Source organism: Homo sapiens, chromosome 10, assembly GCF_000001405.40.
Source record: "Homo sapiens chromosome 10, GRCh38.p14 Primary Assembly".
Lineage (NCBI taxonomy): Eukaryota > Metazoa > Chordata > Mammalia > Primates > Hominidae > Homo > Homo sapiens.
Genome location: NC_000010.11, coordinates 89471647 through 89490426, shown reverse-complemented (window position 1 = coordinate 89490426; position 18780 = coordinate 89471647). Strand labels below are relative to the sequence as shown.

The 18780-nt window shown below is 39.2% G+C and overlaps 1 protein-coding gene across 7 annotated transcripts in view, besides 1 other annotated feature; it reads left to right on the top strand.

The window, feature by feature from the left end:
* Positions 1-18780, top strand: part of SLC16A12 (solute carrier family 16 member 12) — a 126406-nt gene that overhangs the window by 66278 nt on the left and 41348 nt on the right. The gene's annotated exons all lie outside the window — the stretch shown is intronic.
* Positions 13560-14060: an enhancer, noted in NCBI's record as "H3K4me1 hESC enhancer chr10:91236124-91236624 (GRCh37/hg19 assembly coordinates)". NCBI's record gives its function as "activates a minimal SCP1, AML or CMV promoter by ChIP-STARR-seq in naive H9 embryonic stem cells {active_cell/tissue: H9 hESC(naive)}" and the evidence as "EXISTENCE:reporter gene assay evidence [ECO:0000049][PMID:30033119]".

Below are 18780 nucleotides of genomic sequence, written 5' to 3'. Positions count from 1 at the left end.
GACTTGTGACTGGTATCTGAAGTGGGGCAGTCTTGTGAGACCGAGCCCCTTAACTTGTGGGATCTGACACTAACTCAGGCAGATAGCATCAGAGTTGAGTTGAATTGTTAGACATGGAGTTGGTATTGGAGGATTTGAAAATCACAGAGTACTGTTTTACATATAAACCGACATGACCTCCTCCAGGAGTTGCCAGCAAGTTCTGAGATTTGATTGCAAGTCCAGGTTCACTGTTATCTGCTCATCATGATTTTACAATCTTCAGGCTCATCCATCTTTGACTCATTTCTTTGCCTATTGAAGAAAAGCCCTACTTTTACATTCCTCTTCATATAAAGACCCTTCATACCTTGAGTCACTATAGTTATCTATCTTTGACCCTTCAGAAATTGTTATAGTTTTTTTGATTTTCAAGTGAACAGAGTTTATGTAGCATTATGGATGCTAATGTTTTACACAGGAGAAATACATTGTTCAGTTTGTTCCTATTTCCCCTTGATGATGACTAGTGACTATAATGACTTTTTTGATCCTCAAAGGACATTAGACATATCTTTAGGAACCAGTCAGCATTAATTTTTATACCTTTTTTCATCATATTTGAAATAACAGACCTTATTATGTGTTTACAGGTATAAACACATGTAATAAAATATTGACTCAAAAATATAGTGTAAAATATATTCCAAATGATATTATCCCTTTAAAAGTATTCACCTTAGGTTTTTAAGGTCAAGCTGTCATAGTTCACAGTTTTTAAGATCTCATTTAAAAAATTACTTTAAGGACTGGCACGGTGGCTCATGCCTATAATCCCAGCACTTTGGGAGGCAAAGGTAGGTGGATTGCTTGAGTACAGACGTTGAACACCAGCCTGGGTAACATGGGGAGAGCCCGTCTCTACAAAAAGCACACAAAAAGTTAGCCGGGTACAGTGGCATGAGTCTGTAGTCCCAGGTAATCGGGAGGTTGAGGTGGAAGAATCCTTGAGCCCGGGAGACAGAGGTTGCAGTGAGCCTAGATCTCGCCATTGCACTCCAGCCTGGGTGACAGAGTGAGACCCTGTCTCAAAAATAAATAAAATAAAATAAAATAAAGTAAAATAAGTTTAAATCTTTAGTATATAAAGAATAATCCTCAGCAGTGGCCAATCTCCAAGAAGGTGAATATGATTTTTGGAAACATCAAAAAGCCATTGTGAACCAAGTCTAATGTGTGATATTCACGACCAAATTGGGCAGTAACGTTGGGGTCAAAATAGCATTAATATGTCTATGAAATGGTGAGCTTGGTTTTCTTATTTAAATGATTGAGCCGTGAAAACAATAACAGTAGTAATTTCAAAGATTTTTCCCAATGGTTATGTGTTATAATATGCCCACATTTCTAGAGATGATTACTTAAAAGTAAAATGTACAAGTACAAAAAATATGATCACCTTTTCTTTCATCATGAAAGAACTCTCCCTGAAGCTGTACACTGGCTAGCTCTGATAAAGCCACTCCCCAGTCGTTTCCTGATACGTCAGTTTTCTTTTTGACTCTTGTCATACAACATCCTGGACTTATCCTGATATTATGCAGAATATTCCTAACCAGATCTCAATATCTCTGTGCATAGCATCTGTCTAGTTTACAAGGAGCTCTCTGCATCCTAGGCTCTATCCTTCTTCCTAACATCTTTTACAAGGTTAGGGGTTGGTCCTTCGGGAATCCCCCAAACTGCTCAGAGAGGAGCCATCTACAGATTTCTAAGGCATCATTTGGTGGGAAACTGTTACTATTGTCAGTTAGTCGTTGCTGCTGCTTTTATCCTAGGCATAGGCATTGGAGTGACCCAATATATTAAAGCTAACTTATTTGAGGTTCACTGAACCTCTCCCATAGCCTATCAATTAGAGTGTGAGGCAGTTTGTTTCCTAAGTCCTTATTAGCACTCCTATAGGCATGGAATTAATTCAGAAAGGAAAATGAAATTCTGCTGTGCAAGGTGTGGTACCATGCTGCTGAGTTCCACCAACAAAGAGCTGGCATCCACATCCTCTTCCAAATGACCATAATGCATGTGACTTCCTTAGCACTGACCACAAATCAGTGCTGAAAAAATAGTAGCTGCTATTCATTCTTTAAAAAGTTCCTCAAAAAACCTTCCTTATGATTAAGGGATTTTTTTGATGGATCTTTTAAAAAAATTTCTGTAGACTCAGGGAATACATGTGCAGGTTTCTTATATGGATATATTGAGTAATGGTAAGGTTTGGGCTTCTAGTGTGTCCCATCCTTGTTGCTGCAGAAACATGATTTCACTCTTTTTTCTGGCTATGTAGTATTCCATGATTTTATATATGTGTATATATAGATAAATAATATGTATTATACATACACATATATATTTAATATATATTAATATGGTATAATAAATGTGTGTGTGTATATATATATATATATATATATATATATATACACACACACCACATTTTCTTTATCCAATCATCTGTTGATGGACACTTGGATTGATTCTGTGACTTTACTATTGTGAATAGTGCTGTAACAAACATACAAGTGCAGGTGTCTTTTTGACAGAGAAATAACACTTCCTTTTTTTTTTTTTTTTTTTTGAGACAGAATCGCTCTGTTGCCCAGGCTGGAGTGCAGTGGCGTGATCTCAGCTCACAGCAAACTCTGCCTCCCAGGTTCAAGCCATTCTTGTGCCTAAGCCTCCTGAGCAGCTGGGGCTACAGGCGCGCACCACCACGCCCAGCTAATTTTTTTTTTTTTTTTGTATTTTTAGTAAAAGTGGGGTTTCTCCATGTTGGCCAGGCTGGTCTCGAACTCCTGACCTCAGGTGATCCACCAGCCTCGGACTTCCAAAGTGTTGGGATTACAGGTGTGAGCCACCATACTTGGCCAACAATTTCTTTTCCTTTGGGTAAATACCCAGTAGTGTGATTGGTGGGTTGAATGGTAGTTCTATTTTTAGTTCTTTGAGAAATCTCCATACTGTTTTCCATAGAGGTTTTATTAACTTACATTCCCACCGACAATGTATGAGAGTTCCCTTTTCTCCACATCCTTGCCAACATCTGTTGTTTTTTGACTTTTTAGTAATAGCCATTCTGATAGGTGTGAGATGGTACACTATGATGATGTTAATCTTCAGAATTAAAAATTTGAGTTCTCTTTTTGCCACACCATTCTGGGCATTTCCTTTAAACACCCAATTAATGAGTTAGATGTGATTTCCCCTTAGAGAAGGCTTGTTGCCTTGCCTCAGGATGGTTGTGTTCATTCAGAGGAATCTGACCCTTTGTATGGAATCCGCAGAGCCCACAGCTTTCTTGTCAGTCAGCCATAGAAGGGATTGCTGGGGATCGTCCTTTTGAAGCACTGCCTATTGGAAGTGAAAGGGTGTATGTTTCGTCCCATACTTCCAAATTTTCTCCTGGAGTGTCTTTTGACTTCACTGGTTGATTTGGTACCAGCCCACACATATCTCTCTCTGAACACTGTATCTGTTGCTTTTTGATCTAGAACCTTTGATTTACTAAGCAGAAAATCAACTTTTTCCTCAAAGAGTCACAGTTATCTTTATTGGAAAACAAAGGAGAGAAAAAGAAAAACAAGGTATCCAGGACATCCCTTTTTCTGTGATATTCATTTCCTAGTCTTTATTTCTATACTTATTTCTACTTATTTCGTTTTTCTCTTTTTTTCTTTCTTTCTTTTTTCTTTTCTTTTCTTTCTTTTCTTTCTTTCTTTCTTTTCTTTCTTTCTTTCTTTCTTTCTTTCTTTCTTTCTTTCTTTCTTTCTTTCTTTCTTTCTTTTTTTTTTTTTTTGAGACAAGGTTTCACTCTGTCACCTAGGCTGGAGTACAGTGGCTTGATAATAGCTCATTGTAATTTTGAATTCCTGGATTCAAGGGATCCTCCGACCTCAGTCTCCTGAGTAGCTGGGACTACAGGCACATGCCACTGTGTCTGACTAATTTTTTTCTATATTTCGTAGAGAAGGTTCTATAACATGTCACAGTCACATAGTTTACTTATATATTTGACTCTGTAAATTTAATGATATTTTTATGAATTCTAAGTCTCCTGACTGAGTGATGGAGCAGGGAGGCCAATTCTCAATCTTTGTGGTCTTTTTCTTTCTTTTTTTAGATAAGAAAATAAGGGAGCCATATGGGGCTTTTACATACAACCTAGATCATCCTCAGTACCAGGCAGTGAGCTCACTGCCTTCCAACCCTGCAAGACACGGGTCATCTTCCCCAGAGTATAGAATAGAGAACTGAGGAGCTTATTGATGAAAAACTATTTTGACTGATTCCCATAAATGCCAGGGATTTCTGCCTCTTCTTTTGTTATTTTACATCTTCAGAAAATACTGCTTGTTGAATGTACCTAATCATGGATTTTACTGATAGGGCAGAATTTCCACTCTGTCATGATGGCTTACCAAGGAAGTTTATATTCCCAAAGGTACTTTTCTTATATGCATGAATTTTTATAAGGATGAATTAGGCTTAGTACAGTCACAGATATGTGAGTCTTTATTACAATTGTATGTCCTGATGCATCTTTCAAAACTGTTACCTCTTAAATTAATTTCTTTAACTTCCCCAGTGTGCACCTACTGATCTACACACGCTGCTCTCCTTTCTGCACACAAACACACTATGCTTATTGGGGCTTCTTTGCCCTGACTCATTTCTTCTTTCACCTGCATTGTTCTTCCCCTTTCCATGGGCGTTTCTCCAAATGCCCTCTCAGTCTCTGTGTTTAATACACTCTTCCCCATGCCTGAATCCCTCTTCCTGCCATCCTGAGTTGTTCTCCCCCAAGCCTATCTCAGATATCTTTGGTTGCAGGTAGCATAAACTCATTAAACTGCTGTTAGGAAATGGAGAACTTTTGTGGAATGGTAAGTGGACGTGAAGAACATTGGCCATAAAGGACCTCAGGGCACCTGGAGCAGGATGAGCCGTTAGATGTCATAAGCAGCTGAGTTCAGGACCTGGGAAGCCATTGGAGCTAATGCAACTCATTTCTCCATCTCACCCTTTTGTTGAAGCCACATAGTTTCTTGCTCTAAGTCTATATCAGGCTTTCTCAACCTTGTCACTGTTGACATTTGGGCCAGATAATTGCTTTTGTTTTTCAGGATGTCCTGTGGAATGTTCAGCAGCATCCCTGGCCTCTGTGCCCTAGATGCCAGTAGCACACCCTGATTGTGACAACCAAATATGCCTCTATAGACATTGCCAAATGTCCTCTGGGGAGCCAAATTGGCCATTGTTGACAACGACTGATCCATAGGAAACTGCTTCCTTGTTCCCCTGGTTCTCGGCTGCTCTATATACAGGCAGAAGGTGGCTCCTCAGCCTTGTTGTGCTGCACCTCCCAGCTCCAGCCTGACTCAGTTGCCTACTCCAAAGACATAGAATCTCAGAATTTGATTCGGTCTTTGGATTGGTTCCTTGGGATGATGTGTAGACTCCTGGTACAATCGGCAGGGCCAGGGAGGTGCAGAACAGGTAGCACAAACGTGGCTGTCACTCACCTGCCCCAGATCATGCTGGGGAGTGGAATTTCCCTTGTATCTGAGTGCATACTCCATTAAGTACCTAGTATTTCCAATTTACATAGGAAAAATTCTAAAAATATTTTAAGGAAGCAATGCCTTCTTAGATTATATTGCACACAAGTAAAACGTATGCAACTTGTGGAGATGGGGCAGTGCAGTGGTTAAGAGCACAGGCTTCGGAGCTACACTGTCTAGGTTCACATTCATCATACTGCATGCCAGCTGTGGCTTGGACAGACTATTTATTGGATCTCTCTTTGCCTCATTTCCTCACCTACACAATGGCAGTGATAATAACAACAGTAATAATAATAATTATCACTTGTGTATTACTCACTGGATATGCCAGGTACTGTTTTAAGTGTGTTAAATTAATTTACTACGTACCCACAACTGTGAGTTGAAACTCTTTTCAGAAATCCTTAGGACAAGATTTTTTGTTATGGTATGGAGAGCAGATATTTGTAACCCTCTAGCAGGATCTGAGGGAGTATCTGGTAATCAATCATAAGATATTCTATAATAGAACATAGGAATATTCTACTAAAAGAGATATATACGTAGTTTAGGTCTTGTCACCAAATAATTACACTGTCAATATCTGGGAAAATTATGGGTTTGTTCTCAGAACTTTTTGGAATTATACATTTGTATATTTATCTTCATTGTACAGATGGGGAAAACTGAAGTTCAAAAAGACTTAGTAACTTTTTTCTTTTGAGACAGTGTCTTGCTATGTTGCCCAGGCTGGTCCCAAACTCCTGGCCTTAAGAGAGCCACCCATGTCAGCTTCCTGAGTAGGCGGCTGGGATTACACTCATGTGCCACCACACCTGGGTTCTGAGACTTAGTAACATGACCAAGTTTACACAGCTAGAAATGCAGAAGCTGAGATTTGAACTCAGCATTTGGATGCCAAAAGACTATGCACTTGACCACAGCATTATAATACATGTATCAGAGGGTTTTTGTGAGAATTAAATGAGTGAACATGTGTAAAAAGCACTAAGAACAGGCATAATACACAGTGAATGCTATGTAAGCATTAATTGTTATCAGGATTTTCTTCTTCCGTTTTTTTTTTTTTGTTTTTTTTTTTTTTTAGAGGCAGCGTCTCACTATGTTGCCAAGGCTGGAGTGCAGTGGCTGTTCACAGGCACGATTATAATGCACTACAGCCTCAAAGTCATGGACTTAAGCTATCCTCCTGCCTTAGCCTATTAAGTAGGTGGAACTACAGGCATGTGCCACTGTACCCAGACAATTTTCTTCATTTTAGAGGGTTATTGCAATTTATTATTATAATGGTTGGCAGGGCAGTGATGTATTCAATTTGATAAGGCAGTGCTTCCCAACCTCTCTTGGGGAGGCAGACCTCAAAAATCATCATCTTTCTAAACCACATTGGAGTAAACCATGATGCTGTTACTGGCCCTGGCGACTCTGGGGTATGGCCACCAGAAGATCTGCCCAGCTGCCTCATGAGCTGAGGGTCCTGTTATGGACTCAATGTTTGTGTTCCCACCAAATTCATATGTTGAAGCCCTAACCCTCAATGTGATGTATCTGGAGATGGGCCCTCAAAGGAAGTAATTAAGGTTGAAGGAGGCCCATAAGGGTAGGCCATGATAGGACTAGTGTCCTTAGAAGAGATGCCAGAGAACTCACACCCCCTCTCCTCCAGCACATGCACATGCACTCAAGAAAGGCCACGTGAGCACATTGCAAAAAAAAAGGTGGCCATCTTCAAGCCAGGAAGGGAGCTGTCCCCAGAAACTGAATTTGCTGACACCTTAATCGTGGACTTCTAGCTTCCAGAACTGAGAAAGTAAATTTCCGTTTTAGCCATCCAGTGTCTGGTATTTTGTTATAGCAGCTGGAGTAGACTAATACAGATTCATGTCACACCTGGAGCCCGGCTAAGCAACTAGGAAGCTCTGGATTAAGAAGGCATATTGATGTGTTTCCTTCTACACAACATGATTTCACTCTGCTAAATTTTGTGGGTTTTTTCTTCTTTTTTCTTGGTCTATTCTATTAGACATTTTTTTTTTTTTTTAGACAGGGTCTCACTCTTGTCACCCAGGCTGTAGTTCAGTAGTGTGATCTTGTCTCATTGCAACCTCTACCTCACAGGCTCAAGGATCCTCCCACCTCAGCTTCCCTAGTAGCTGGGACTACAGGCCCACGCCACTGTGCCTGGGAATTTTTTTTTGTATTTTTTGTAGAGACAGGGTCTTGCTATGTTGCCCAGGCTGTTCTCAAACTCCTTGGTTCAAGCAATTTGCCCACCTCAGCCTCCCCAAGTGCTGGGATTATAGGCGTGAGCCATCACACCCGGCATCTATTAGACTCTTAACTATGACTTCTCATCCTTGGTTATACATTGACCATGATACTGTTTTCTGCCACACTGTGATTAAAATTTATTATTGATGGATCTAAAACCCATGACCTCAAACTTGTTAGTGTAGAGTACATTGTAAAAATACATTGACTACACTGGCCTTTGGAATGCTTCTAAGAATATATGTTAACTTTGTACCATAGTCTGTAGCTATACTTTAGCCTTTTTTTCTTTTCTTCTTCTTTTTTTTTTTTTTTTGGTGTATTCTTGAGAAATGATAATCCAAAGTAAACTGAATTTGTACTATTTGACACTCTATTCTAAGTGAGGAGTATGGATTTAAGACACAAATCATTAAGTACAGACTAAATTGTACTTTTCAATCTTTTAGATGATTAATTATTTTTCGAAATTCAAAAAATTTATTTTCTCTGTTTGGGCTATTTCATTCAAAGATTCTAAAACTATTCAGCGTAACTCATGCCTTTACTTATTTTTATCCTGAAAATATTAACTTGTTTTTCTCCTAGCTTCCGGTGAAGACAATTTTATCATTGTCAGCATTCTCTCAAGAAGTTTATGAAAGAAAAAGAGAATGATTTCCTCATGCGAGCCTGAAATGCCATGAGAAAGAACATTGCATTCTCATTCTGTGTAGTGCAGTTGTCCTAAAGTGGACTTTTTCATTCCATGTTATTTAGTCATCAAATGTTGCATCACTTTGTAAAAGGAAAACAATTTTTGAAAGTTATAGTGAAAAACCATGCTGGAATACATTTTTTTTTGTTTTACACACACACACACACACACACACACTCTCTCTCTCTCTCACACACACACACACACACACAAGAAAAAAAAAACAGTGTCAATTAGATAGTAGCCAACCTTAAAAAAATAGTCATACAGTTTATCTATCCATCAATAGATTCTTGTTTTTGGCTTCTTGGGCAGATAAAAAGTGAGGGGGAAACTTTTAATCTGTGTATGAGAGTAGTCCCAAAAGCAAAACTCTCAGGTATTAGTGGAATGATAAAATCTCAATAAGTTTAAATAAAGAGAGCAAACCTAAACATATATATATAGACAAATGTCAACTACGCCAAGTATATAGACAAGCGGATGTGAACTGATGTTAAATGGAAAAAAAAATGTACACACTTAGTTGCCACTATGTACAAGTGGTTTTATTACTTTGTATAAAAAGAGCATGAGTATTCCAGGAAATTCAGAAAATACAGGAAGAGCTCATTCATTATCTCAGTTTCCTCACACAGCTATTTTCTATTTTGGTGCATTCATTTCTTATTTTGTCCTTATGCATATGTATTTCTACAGTTGTACTCATAGCACATACATTTTGTGTTCTGATTTAGAGTTAATATCCCAACATAGATGGGCATTTTTGTGTGCTGATACAGTCCTCAGAGCTGTCATTTATAGAGGCTTTTAATAGTTCAGGGATTGGACATAGCATTTGTGTACAACTTAGGAAAAATCATTAAAAAGGAAAGAACGTAGACACAGATATTTAGTATACAGATATTTGTCTGTAAAGAATTTCGGTGGAAGTTCAAAATAAAGAATCAACTAAATACTGCAAAGAAGTGAAAATTAGTTTAAATGTTCAAGAAACATGGCATTTCTTGGATTTATAGTTCTCCCTCTTATTTTCATTTTGCCAGTCTTCCTCACTCCATTTAACTCTTTTGTGTTGTCTGCATAGCATAAGGGAAAATTGACTTGGAAAGATGAAGACACTGGGTCTGTTTTCCTTTTGATACTCCAAGAAAAGAAATATGTGTGTACTTTTAGTGATGATTAAGCTATATATTTACTAATTTTCTAATCATGTTACTATTTGATCTAGTAACTGGTATATGTAATAACTTAGTTAAGCATTTTTTTGTACCTACTATATGCTCCTGTATAGCTACTGTAGTGAACAGTCTCTTACTTTTTAGTTTGGAAAATTATTGAAAGAAATCAATGAAGATGAAAAATGTATTTGCTGGTATTATATAGAAAGAAATTAGTATTTGTTAATATGTGAATATTTAATAGGTATCAGATGCTTTTACATGTATTTTGCCATTTAACCCTCATTAAAGCCCCCTTTAAAAGGAAATATTCACTGCAATGTACACAGCAGGACAGATTCAGAAAGCTAAGTTGCATGTCAAAATCACAGAGCTAGTAATTATCAGAGTAGAGTTTCCAAGCCAGATATGTCTGACCTCATGCCAAGGGCACTGTTCCATGTGCTTCAAAATGTAATGTGGTATTCATATTTGCAGCAGTTTTAATGGCCTCAAAGAGTAGTAGTATAACTGAGGGTGGAGTGGGATGGCAAAAAAACCCTGGAATTATTGAGAGAGGGGTGTCCTGTCAGAGGAATGTGGGTTTCTTTTTTATTTTTAAAGATCTTTTTCTGAGCCATGTTGTGTTACTATTTACAGCTGCATCATGACCTAAAGGGCCTCTTATAAGCCTCCTTCTCAGATAAATTATCTTTCAGAACATTTTTCACACCCAGCCTCAGGAGACATGTAAATGCCTCTATGTAAAGTCTTTGGATAGAGAATGGTGATAGAGCTTCTTTTGCAGTTTATGAAGTTCTACTTGATATAACTATTATTCTCCAACACTATCGTGATATATAAATCATAATAATCACAGGATATTGAAATTTTAAGTTTTTTATCCCTTATGTAAGGCTCATGGAGGCAGTCTATAATAACAATAGTAGTAATAGCTAACATTTATTTGAATGCTTACTGTGGACAGGACCTATGCTTTGTGATATAATATGGGTTACCTCATTTCATTTTCTCAACAACTCCGTGGGGTAGGAGTTGGGATTTGAAAGGACCAATACAAAACATTCATATTTTCCCTAAGTTCTAAGCCAATTTAGAGGTAGAAACAGGAATTAAACAGATGAAGATCAAAATGCCACCCTAAAGGCTAATAATACTGATAGTTAAGGCACGAGGCTTAGGACAACTAGCCAAGTAGGGTTGCAATACTTTGCTCATGAAAAGGAGCCAAGTTGTAGTCACTGTCAGCTCTTAAACAACCACAGGCCTCCTTGCAAGGGCATCTTCCCCTATTTTACTTATAGCACAGAATTGCTGAGGAAGATAAGCTTCTCTACAAATAGGCAGATCCCACATGAAAAAAAAAAAGAGAAAGAGTGTGAGGTGAGTGTAGGCAATGATTTCTCCCAAGGAAACAGATAAGCAACCCCTCTTACAGCGAAAAGTGAGGAGAAGGAGAAGAGCCAGGAGTGTTAAATCTACTGGAGTCTCCACCCCACAGGATCATGGAAAAGGAGGTCTTTGTCCCCAGCTGTAGGTACTAAACATGCGGCTATCCTGCAGATAAGGAATGAGGCACTGAGACACTAAGTGACAGTTCACTATTAGTAAGTGGCAGAGAAGTCTAAATAAGGTCAGTCCATAAGTAAGAGGTAGAGTCAGGGCTGAACAAGCCAGGCTAGGACGGGCTCAGGCTCAGTTCAGGAACAAGGCAATGGAAAATTAAGATGGGAGGGCAGATGTGAAAGGGATTACAAAAAATAAGTGATAAGAGTTGGATTCACTTGTAATGAGAGTTGGGATAGAGTCAAAATGACTCAAAGCTTTTAGCATTTCTAGTTGGAAACAATGAGAGCATTAAGAAAACAGTGTTTCCAGGAGTGAATAGCCAGTGTTTTTGGACATGAGAGTTTGAGGTACCCTGCAGACTATTGGAAATTTGAGTCTGTAACTTGGGAGAAAGATCGGAAGCAGAGATGCAGATTTTATAGTTGTCCATTTAAATAAAGGTGATAGGTGGCTGAAACTAAGGGAATGCTTAAGTCTGAGCAGTGAAAGAGGAAGTTGGTTTCACAGATGAGTTTCATCTTTGAAATACACTAAAAGATTTGAGTTGGTAAACATCAGCAACTTGATCTAGTTTAAAGGCAAAGCCCAGCGTGAGCTCAGGACTTGACTTCACCTTTTTACCATAGCCCTAGAATGCTGCAAGGCAAGCTTACGGATCACACTGGTATGCAACACAGTTTTTGTTTCCCCCTGCAGGTTCACTGTCCATCCCACTTCCACCCTGTTCTCTGACCTGGGAGGCTGAAAACATTTATGGACTGCATCAGTTGGGCTCCCATTGGGTTCAATTACCTCTGAGACTTGGAATGCAGGAGTAGGTGTGGCTGATGTGTTTACCTCCTTGGTTCTTTCACTGTCAGATCCTGTGGACTGACTGCTTCCCTTCAACAGGGACTTTCTACGTCAACTCTCCAAGATTCTAGTAACTGCTCTCTCCCTCTGCCCCCTTAAGTCTAGAGGTGGTAATAGTTTCCCACTGTTACTAGACCCAAGGCACTCCACTTCCTTTATTAAGTTCTACTTGATGTAACTGTTATTCTCCAACACTATCATGATATAGTGTTGTTAGATATTATTAACACTGCTTATACCTTTATAAACAATGTCTTTATTGAAGTCTTCCCTTCCCAGTTCCTTAAATAATATACCCAGTAAACCAGAAAGAACTCATGTTCTCCAAGGCACAAGTCCTACTCTTAATAAACAGAGGGACTTCATCGGGGTGGGGGTGGGGGCGGGGGCAGGGCAGGGGCCGGTCTCAGAACTGGGAGGGAACAATAGACTTAGTACAGAGACTGTAAATCCATATGTACATATAATATTGTTGGTGGACAGAATATCTTACACAGTTACATGATTCTTCAAATGTGTAAGTGCCTTAGTGATTCATAAGAAAATTTATTTGAAAATTCATCAAATTTATTTTACTTATTGTCTTTATACAGATTCTTAACTAACAAATGGCTTATGGCTTATATTAAGAATATAACTATTGCTGTGTTTGGCTAAGGACATCTTTTTTTTTTTTTTTTTTTTTTTTTGAGACAGAGTTTTGCTCTTGTTGCCCAGGCTCAAGTGCAATGGCACAATCTCGGCTCAACGCAACCTCCTCCTCCTGGGTTCAAGTGATTCTCCTGCCTCAGCCTCCCGAGTAGCTGGGATTACAGACATGCACCACCACGCCCAGCTAATTTTGTATTTTTAGTAGAGATGGGGTTCCTCCATGTTGGTCAGGCTGGTCTTGAACTCTTGACCTCAAGTGATCCGCCCACCTCGGCCTCCCAAAGTGCTGGGATTACAGGCGTGAGCCACTGCGCCTGGGCTGGACATGTTTTTAAATGTACAGACTGTACTCACATGCAAAGAATCTGGGAATTACTTCCAAGGACTTTGTTAAAAGTTCATCAAACTTTCTTCGGTTCCAAACTAGAGGGAGGTGGAATGAACTGGTTTAACAATATCTATTTCTATCAGGATAGGAACAAAAACGACCATCCGTATCTTGAAGGAATTTTTGTAAAATCATTTCTAACTCATTTCACAGCAGAAATTCAAGCCCCCGTCTTACAAAAAAATAGTACACCACATTCTCAGCCTTGGCAACACCTTGTCCTTTGTGTGACCTGCTGTGGCTCAAGCAGTGAGCAGAGTCTACAGAACACAAAAATAAACATCTCTACAGGCCTGTGGAATGTGATGGCCAGCGTGATGTGGGGCAGACTGTGGGCCGAGTGCCAGGCCCTGTAGGTGAGCCCTCCTGCGGCCCACTTTGCAAAAGCAGAAAGAAGGGGCAAATCTGCCAGTGAATTTCTGTTTCCACCTTTGGCCTGGTCTGGGGTCAGGGCCTAGGTATGTGCCCAGAGAGATGTAGTCAGTTAGGGTTCTATGACCCCAGTGCTGGGAAGGCTGGTTATGGTGGATAAAAAGATCAAAGAAAGGGTTTCTTGTTACCATTCTTCAAGCTCCGTGTACCATTTCCCCATGTAATTTGAGAAATTATCCTGAACCAGAGAACTGGGAAGTTTGTTCAGTAACTGCTTATTGAGTCCCTGTTCTCTCCCAGGCATGATCCTAGGCACTGGAGATAGTGGGGAGTGGGAGCCTCCAGGGTCCCTCCTCTTAGGGATCTCACACTCTGAGTGCAGAACTATGTTCTTCTGCCTGCACTCCTACAAACACCAGTTCTCCGTAGTACTCCATGACATGAGGGGTTAATTTCTAGCTGACTGAAATAATGGACTCATTGCCCCTCCCATTTCAACAGCATGGCGGATGGCAGCGATTACAGAGTGAAGGAAATATCGTGGTATGGAGAGCAGCACTGTTCTCAATAATAGGCTCTCTGATGACGAACAAAAAGACTCTGTGAAATGCATCTCAAACTCCCAGGTTCTCCTTTACAGCCAAGATGCCTCCGATATAATCTGACTTAATGATGCCATACTCTGTAACAGAGTACAAAATTAGAATAAAAGAGTTATACAAGGCACTGAGTTAGACACAAAAATTTATTCATGGAACTACACAAGTATTGAGCACCGACTTTATGCCAGACACTACACCCAATGTTATACCAGAACCCTATTACTGCAGAAAATGTAGTTGGGGGCAAGCTTCTGGTTATGAATTGCACATTCAACCACTCAGAAGTAAGCATTTTTCTGATGTTGCCTAGAATCGGTGGCTCTGTGGATTAGGAACTGAAAGGGTGGGAAAGAATTTTGCTTTCTACTGTCTGCCTCGTATGTGAATCACGAGTTGTACCTTTTTCTTCCTTTCTGTAGACCAAATACCATATAAATCACTCTGCTGTTTATTCTAAGTCTTATGTAAAGTGTTCCTGTCCTCAAAGCATCACACACAATGTAGAGGCTTTGGCAGTTTCTTTAGCAAAGGTCAGTGTTTCAGTTTAGTGCCCAAAGGTCTCTGACAAACATCCAAAAATTTCTGGTTGAAGTCAGTAATTATTTACTCCCGTTACCAGGATTTGTTTGAGGACTAAGCAGAGAGAAGCAGAAAGGAAAAATAAGCACATCAAAAAAAGCAGTCTTAGTCTCTCTTCACCTAGAACATTATATATGTATTGTCTCATGGCACATGTGTAATGTCAGTAAACAATAAAAATAAATAAATCAATTTCCAGTTGAAGGCATCTCCAGGATCCAGAGGCTCTAAGTGGATGAAAACAATTGGGTGCTTGGGCCAGAGACTGTGCAAGCCTAAGCAGAGAGAGAGGGGTTTCTTAACTTCCCTCCCACGTTCAGTCCCTTTGGAACTCGAGTTTGCCCCTAGGATAGAAGTCTGTAAGGCTACCAGCTGGAACCCTTTGCTACACTGCTGTAAAGGCTGTGCAGAAAAAAATGTTGGAATTCTCTCATACTTGGAAAATTACCCTTTAATACACATGGTTTCCTCTCTGTTTCCTAGCCATAGGCCAGGATGTTAACTGGGGTGGGGTAGAGGCAGACATTTAATTCTTGTTAAGAGGGAGTAATAAAATGTGAAGTGATAGGGAGCCAATCTATCGTTTTCTGAATATCCACAAGAGGCTTACATTTAGCAACAACATTTAGCAAACACATGTCAGGCACTGTTTAGTTGCTGGGGACACAACATCCAACATGACAGTTATGGCTTCTACCAAGACGCAGCTTAAAGGCCAGGGAGAGGCAATGGTTTGCGGTGAATAAGAGCACAAGCTTTGAAATCAGACCTGAGGTAGAATCTTGGATAGAGCATTCCTTACTTTGTCTGTAAAATGGAGATTATAATACCTACGTCACAGGGTCAAGATGAAGATAACATGGAATAACATATATGTAGCAGTGAATTCAGAGCCTGGTGGATTCAGTGCCCCTAAATAGTAATAATCATTGTTACTGTTATTACTTTGTGGCTTATTCTGTGTTCCAAGAGTCAGACACTTGAGCTCTGAGTGCTGGCTGGTACCTCCGTGACATGAATGCCACACTCTGGTGTGCGCTGTTTAGAGAGAAGCTGGTTGTGTTAAATACTGTTCGTTTTCTAGTTATAATGGTTGATTTTCTTGCTTTGTGAAGATTAGACCTCTCTGATGAAGATAAAGTGCTTTCCATGTTTCTTTCAGCTGAATGGCCATTTAAAAACTAGTGACAGTTATTTACACTTTTATTTCTTATGACTTGAGGGGGTTCTCCCTGGTGAAGGCAGAACTTATTTCATTCATTTATTAGGCGTAGAGTAAGCTCTTATTCTGAACCAGGCAGTGTGTTTGGGTGCGTGTGTGTGCATGCATGTATTTTGTTTGGGTTTGGGTAAGGTGAGAGGAATTGGGGGAAGATGCAAAGGTGACTTGCTCTGGGAGTTAAACAGTCTAGTGGGAGACAGAGAGAAAGGTAAATAGATAACAAGAATGTATTTGATAAGTGCCAGGAAAGGCATACACAGAGATCTCCAAAAACCTGGAAGAGGGAGATGCCTGTTTTAAGGCATAGAAGCAGTGGAATCAGGAGTGATAGGTAATTCAGGTGGGGAAGTGTGGAAGAAAGGAATTTGAAGGTAAAATGAATAGCATGTAAAAAGATATAAAGCCTGAGTTTTTCAGTGAGTTGAAAGAAATTTATAGTATTATAGGATAGGTGGGTATGGTAGTGATGGGCTAGGAGTGAGGCTGATATTTGGCTAAGGAGATGATCATATTTATGGGCTGAACGTGGCTTCTGCTGAGGACTTCAAGGACCAGCCAATCCTCAGGCAAACAGATTATGGCTGAGGACACTGAGTTTCCATGATTAGAAATATTATCTGTGTGTTTCCCTCTTGCTTCTCTACAGAGACAGGAGTGAGTGTGTAGATCAAAGAGCTTCAAATGGGACACATTAAGGGTTACAAAGGTACCCTAAAAGAGTACCTCCCCACTGCAGAGGTAATAGTAGAGTTCATTTAGAAATCTTCTCTAGTGAGTTGCGGTAGGGTTGAAACTTACTCGTAAAACAATATAGATACGAAAAAAATTACAACTTGTTTGTTGCTATAATAAATGTAAACTTCTTCATAAGCCTCCATTTTAAATGAAGGCAAGAGTGGGGAGTTTATTTTGCTGCTTTTGTCCTCTCTAAAAAACCTTTGCCTATTCCCAAGTTATAAAGATTTTTTTCCCTCTGTTTTCTTCCATAAGTTGTATAGTTTTCTTTTACGTTTACATGTTCTATCTATAGGTTTGGTATAAATGGAGTGACAATAAGAGTCAAGATTCATTTTTCCCCATGTGAATAAATGTGTAGGTCTGTATCTGAACTTTCTATTCCGTTCCACTAATATAATGTGCCAATATCACACTGTTTTGATTACTCTGGTTTTAGAACAAGTCTTGAAATCAGTTAATGTAAGTCTTCAACCTTTGTTCTTTCTTTTAAAAATATTTTGGCTTTTCTAGGTCATTTGCAGTTCCATATAGATTTTAGAATCAGCTTGTCAGTTTCCATTAAAAAAAAAAAAAAGACTGCTGAGGCCAGGTGTAGTGACTTATGCCTGTAATCCCAGCACTTTGGGAGGCCGAAGCAGGAGAATCGCTTGAGCCCAAAAGTTTGAGACCAGCCTGAGAAACATAGTGAAACCTCATCTCTACAAAAAAATACAAAAATTGGTTAGATGTGGTGGTATGTGCCTGTAGTCCCAGCTGTTTGGGTTGCCGAGGTGGTAGAATCACTTGAGCCCAGGAGGTCAAACCTGCAGTGAGCCATGATAGCGCCACTGCACTCTGGCCCAGGTGACAGAGTGAGATCCTGTCTCAAGAAAATAATAAAAAAGAAAAAAATTTAAAAGAAAAAATACTGACCAGGCACGGTGGCTCACACCTGTAATCCTAGCACTCTGGGAGGCCAAGGCAGGTGGATCCCTTGAGGTCAGGAGTTCGAGACTAGCCTGGCCAACATAGTGAAATCCCATCGCTACTAAAAATACAAAAATTAGCTGGGCATGGTTGTGGGCACCTGGATTCCCAGCTACTCGAGAGGCTGAGGCAGGAGAATCACTTGAACCTAGGAGGTGGAGGTTATAGTGAGCCGAGATCGCCCCACTGCACTCCAGCCTGGGCAACACAGCAAGACTCCATCTCAAAAAAAAAAAAAAAAAAAAAAAGAAAGAAAAGAAAAGAAAAGAAAAAAGAAAGAAGTAATGCTGCTGGAATTTTGTTTGGGATTTCACTGAAACTATCAACTAACTTAAGTAGATATGACATCTTCCAAGTCTTCCAATCTGTGAACAGGGTATCTCTCTTTCTCTCTTTTTTAGGCCTTTGTAAATTTTTCTTATTGCTGTTTTATTATTACATTATTATTAATGTAAAAATAATGCACATGTTGTGTTGAATCTATTTCTTGGCATTTCATATTTTTTGAAGCTACTGTAAAGTGGTATTTAAAACTTTTTAATTTCTAATTATTCACTAATATAGAGAAATGCAATCAACTACAAAAGAAAAAATAATAAATTTCAATTCATCAAAATTAATGGCTTCTGCTCTTCAAAATACACCACTAATTAATGAATAGGTAAGCCACAGAGTGGGAGAAAATATTTCTAACACATATATCCACAAATAACTTGTATCTAGAATATATAAAGTATTCCTGTATCCCAATAATAAAAAACAGACCACCTAGTAAAATATAGGCATAATACTTGAATAGACACCTCACAAAAAAGATATATGAATTGTTAATAATTATATGAAAATTGGTTAATATAATTAGTCATTGGGGAAGTACAAATTAAAACTACAATGAGATACCATTTGATATCACTAGAATGACTGAAATTAATCACACCATAAATACCAAGTATTGCCAAAGTTGCGAAGCAATTGGAACTCTAATTTAGTACTGAAAATATCACACAACCACCTTTAAAAACAAGTTTGGCACCTCCTTCTAAAGTTAAAATACACATTTACCCTATGATTGAGCAATTTCTTTCCTAG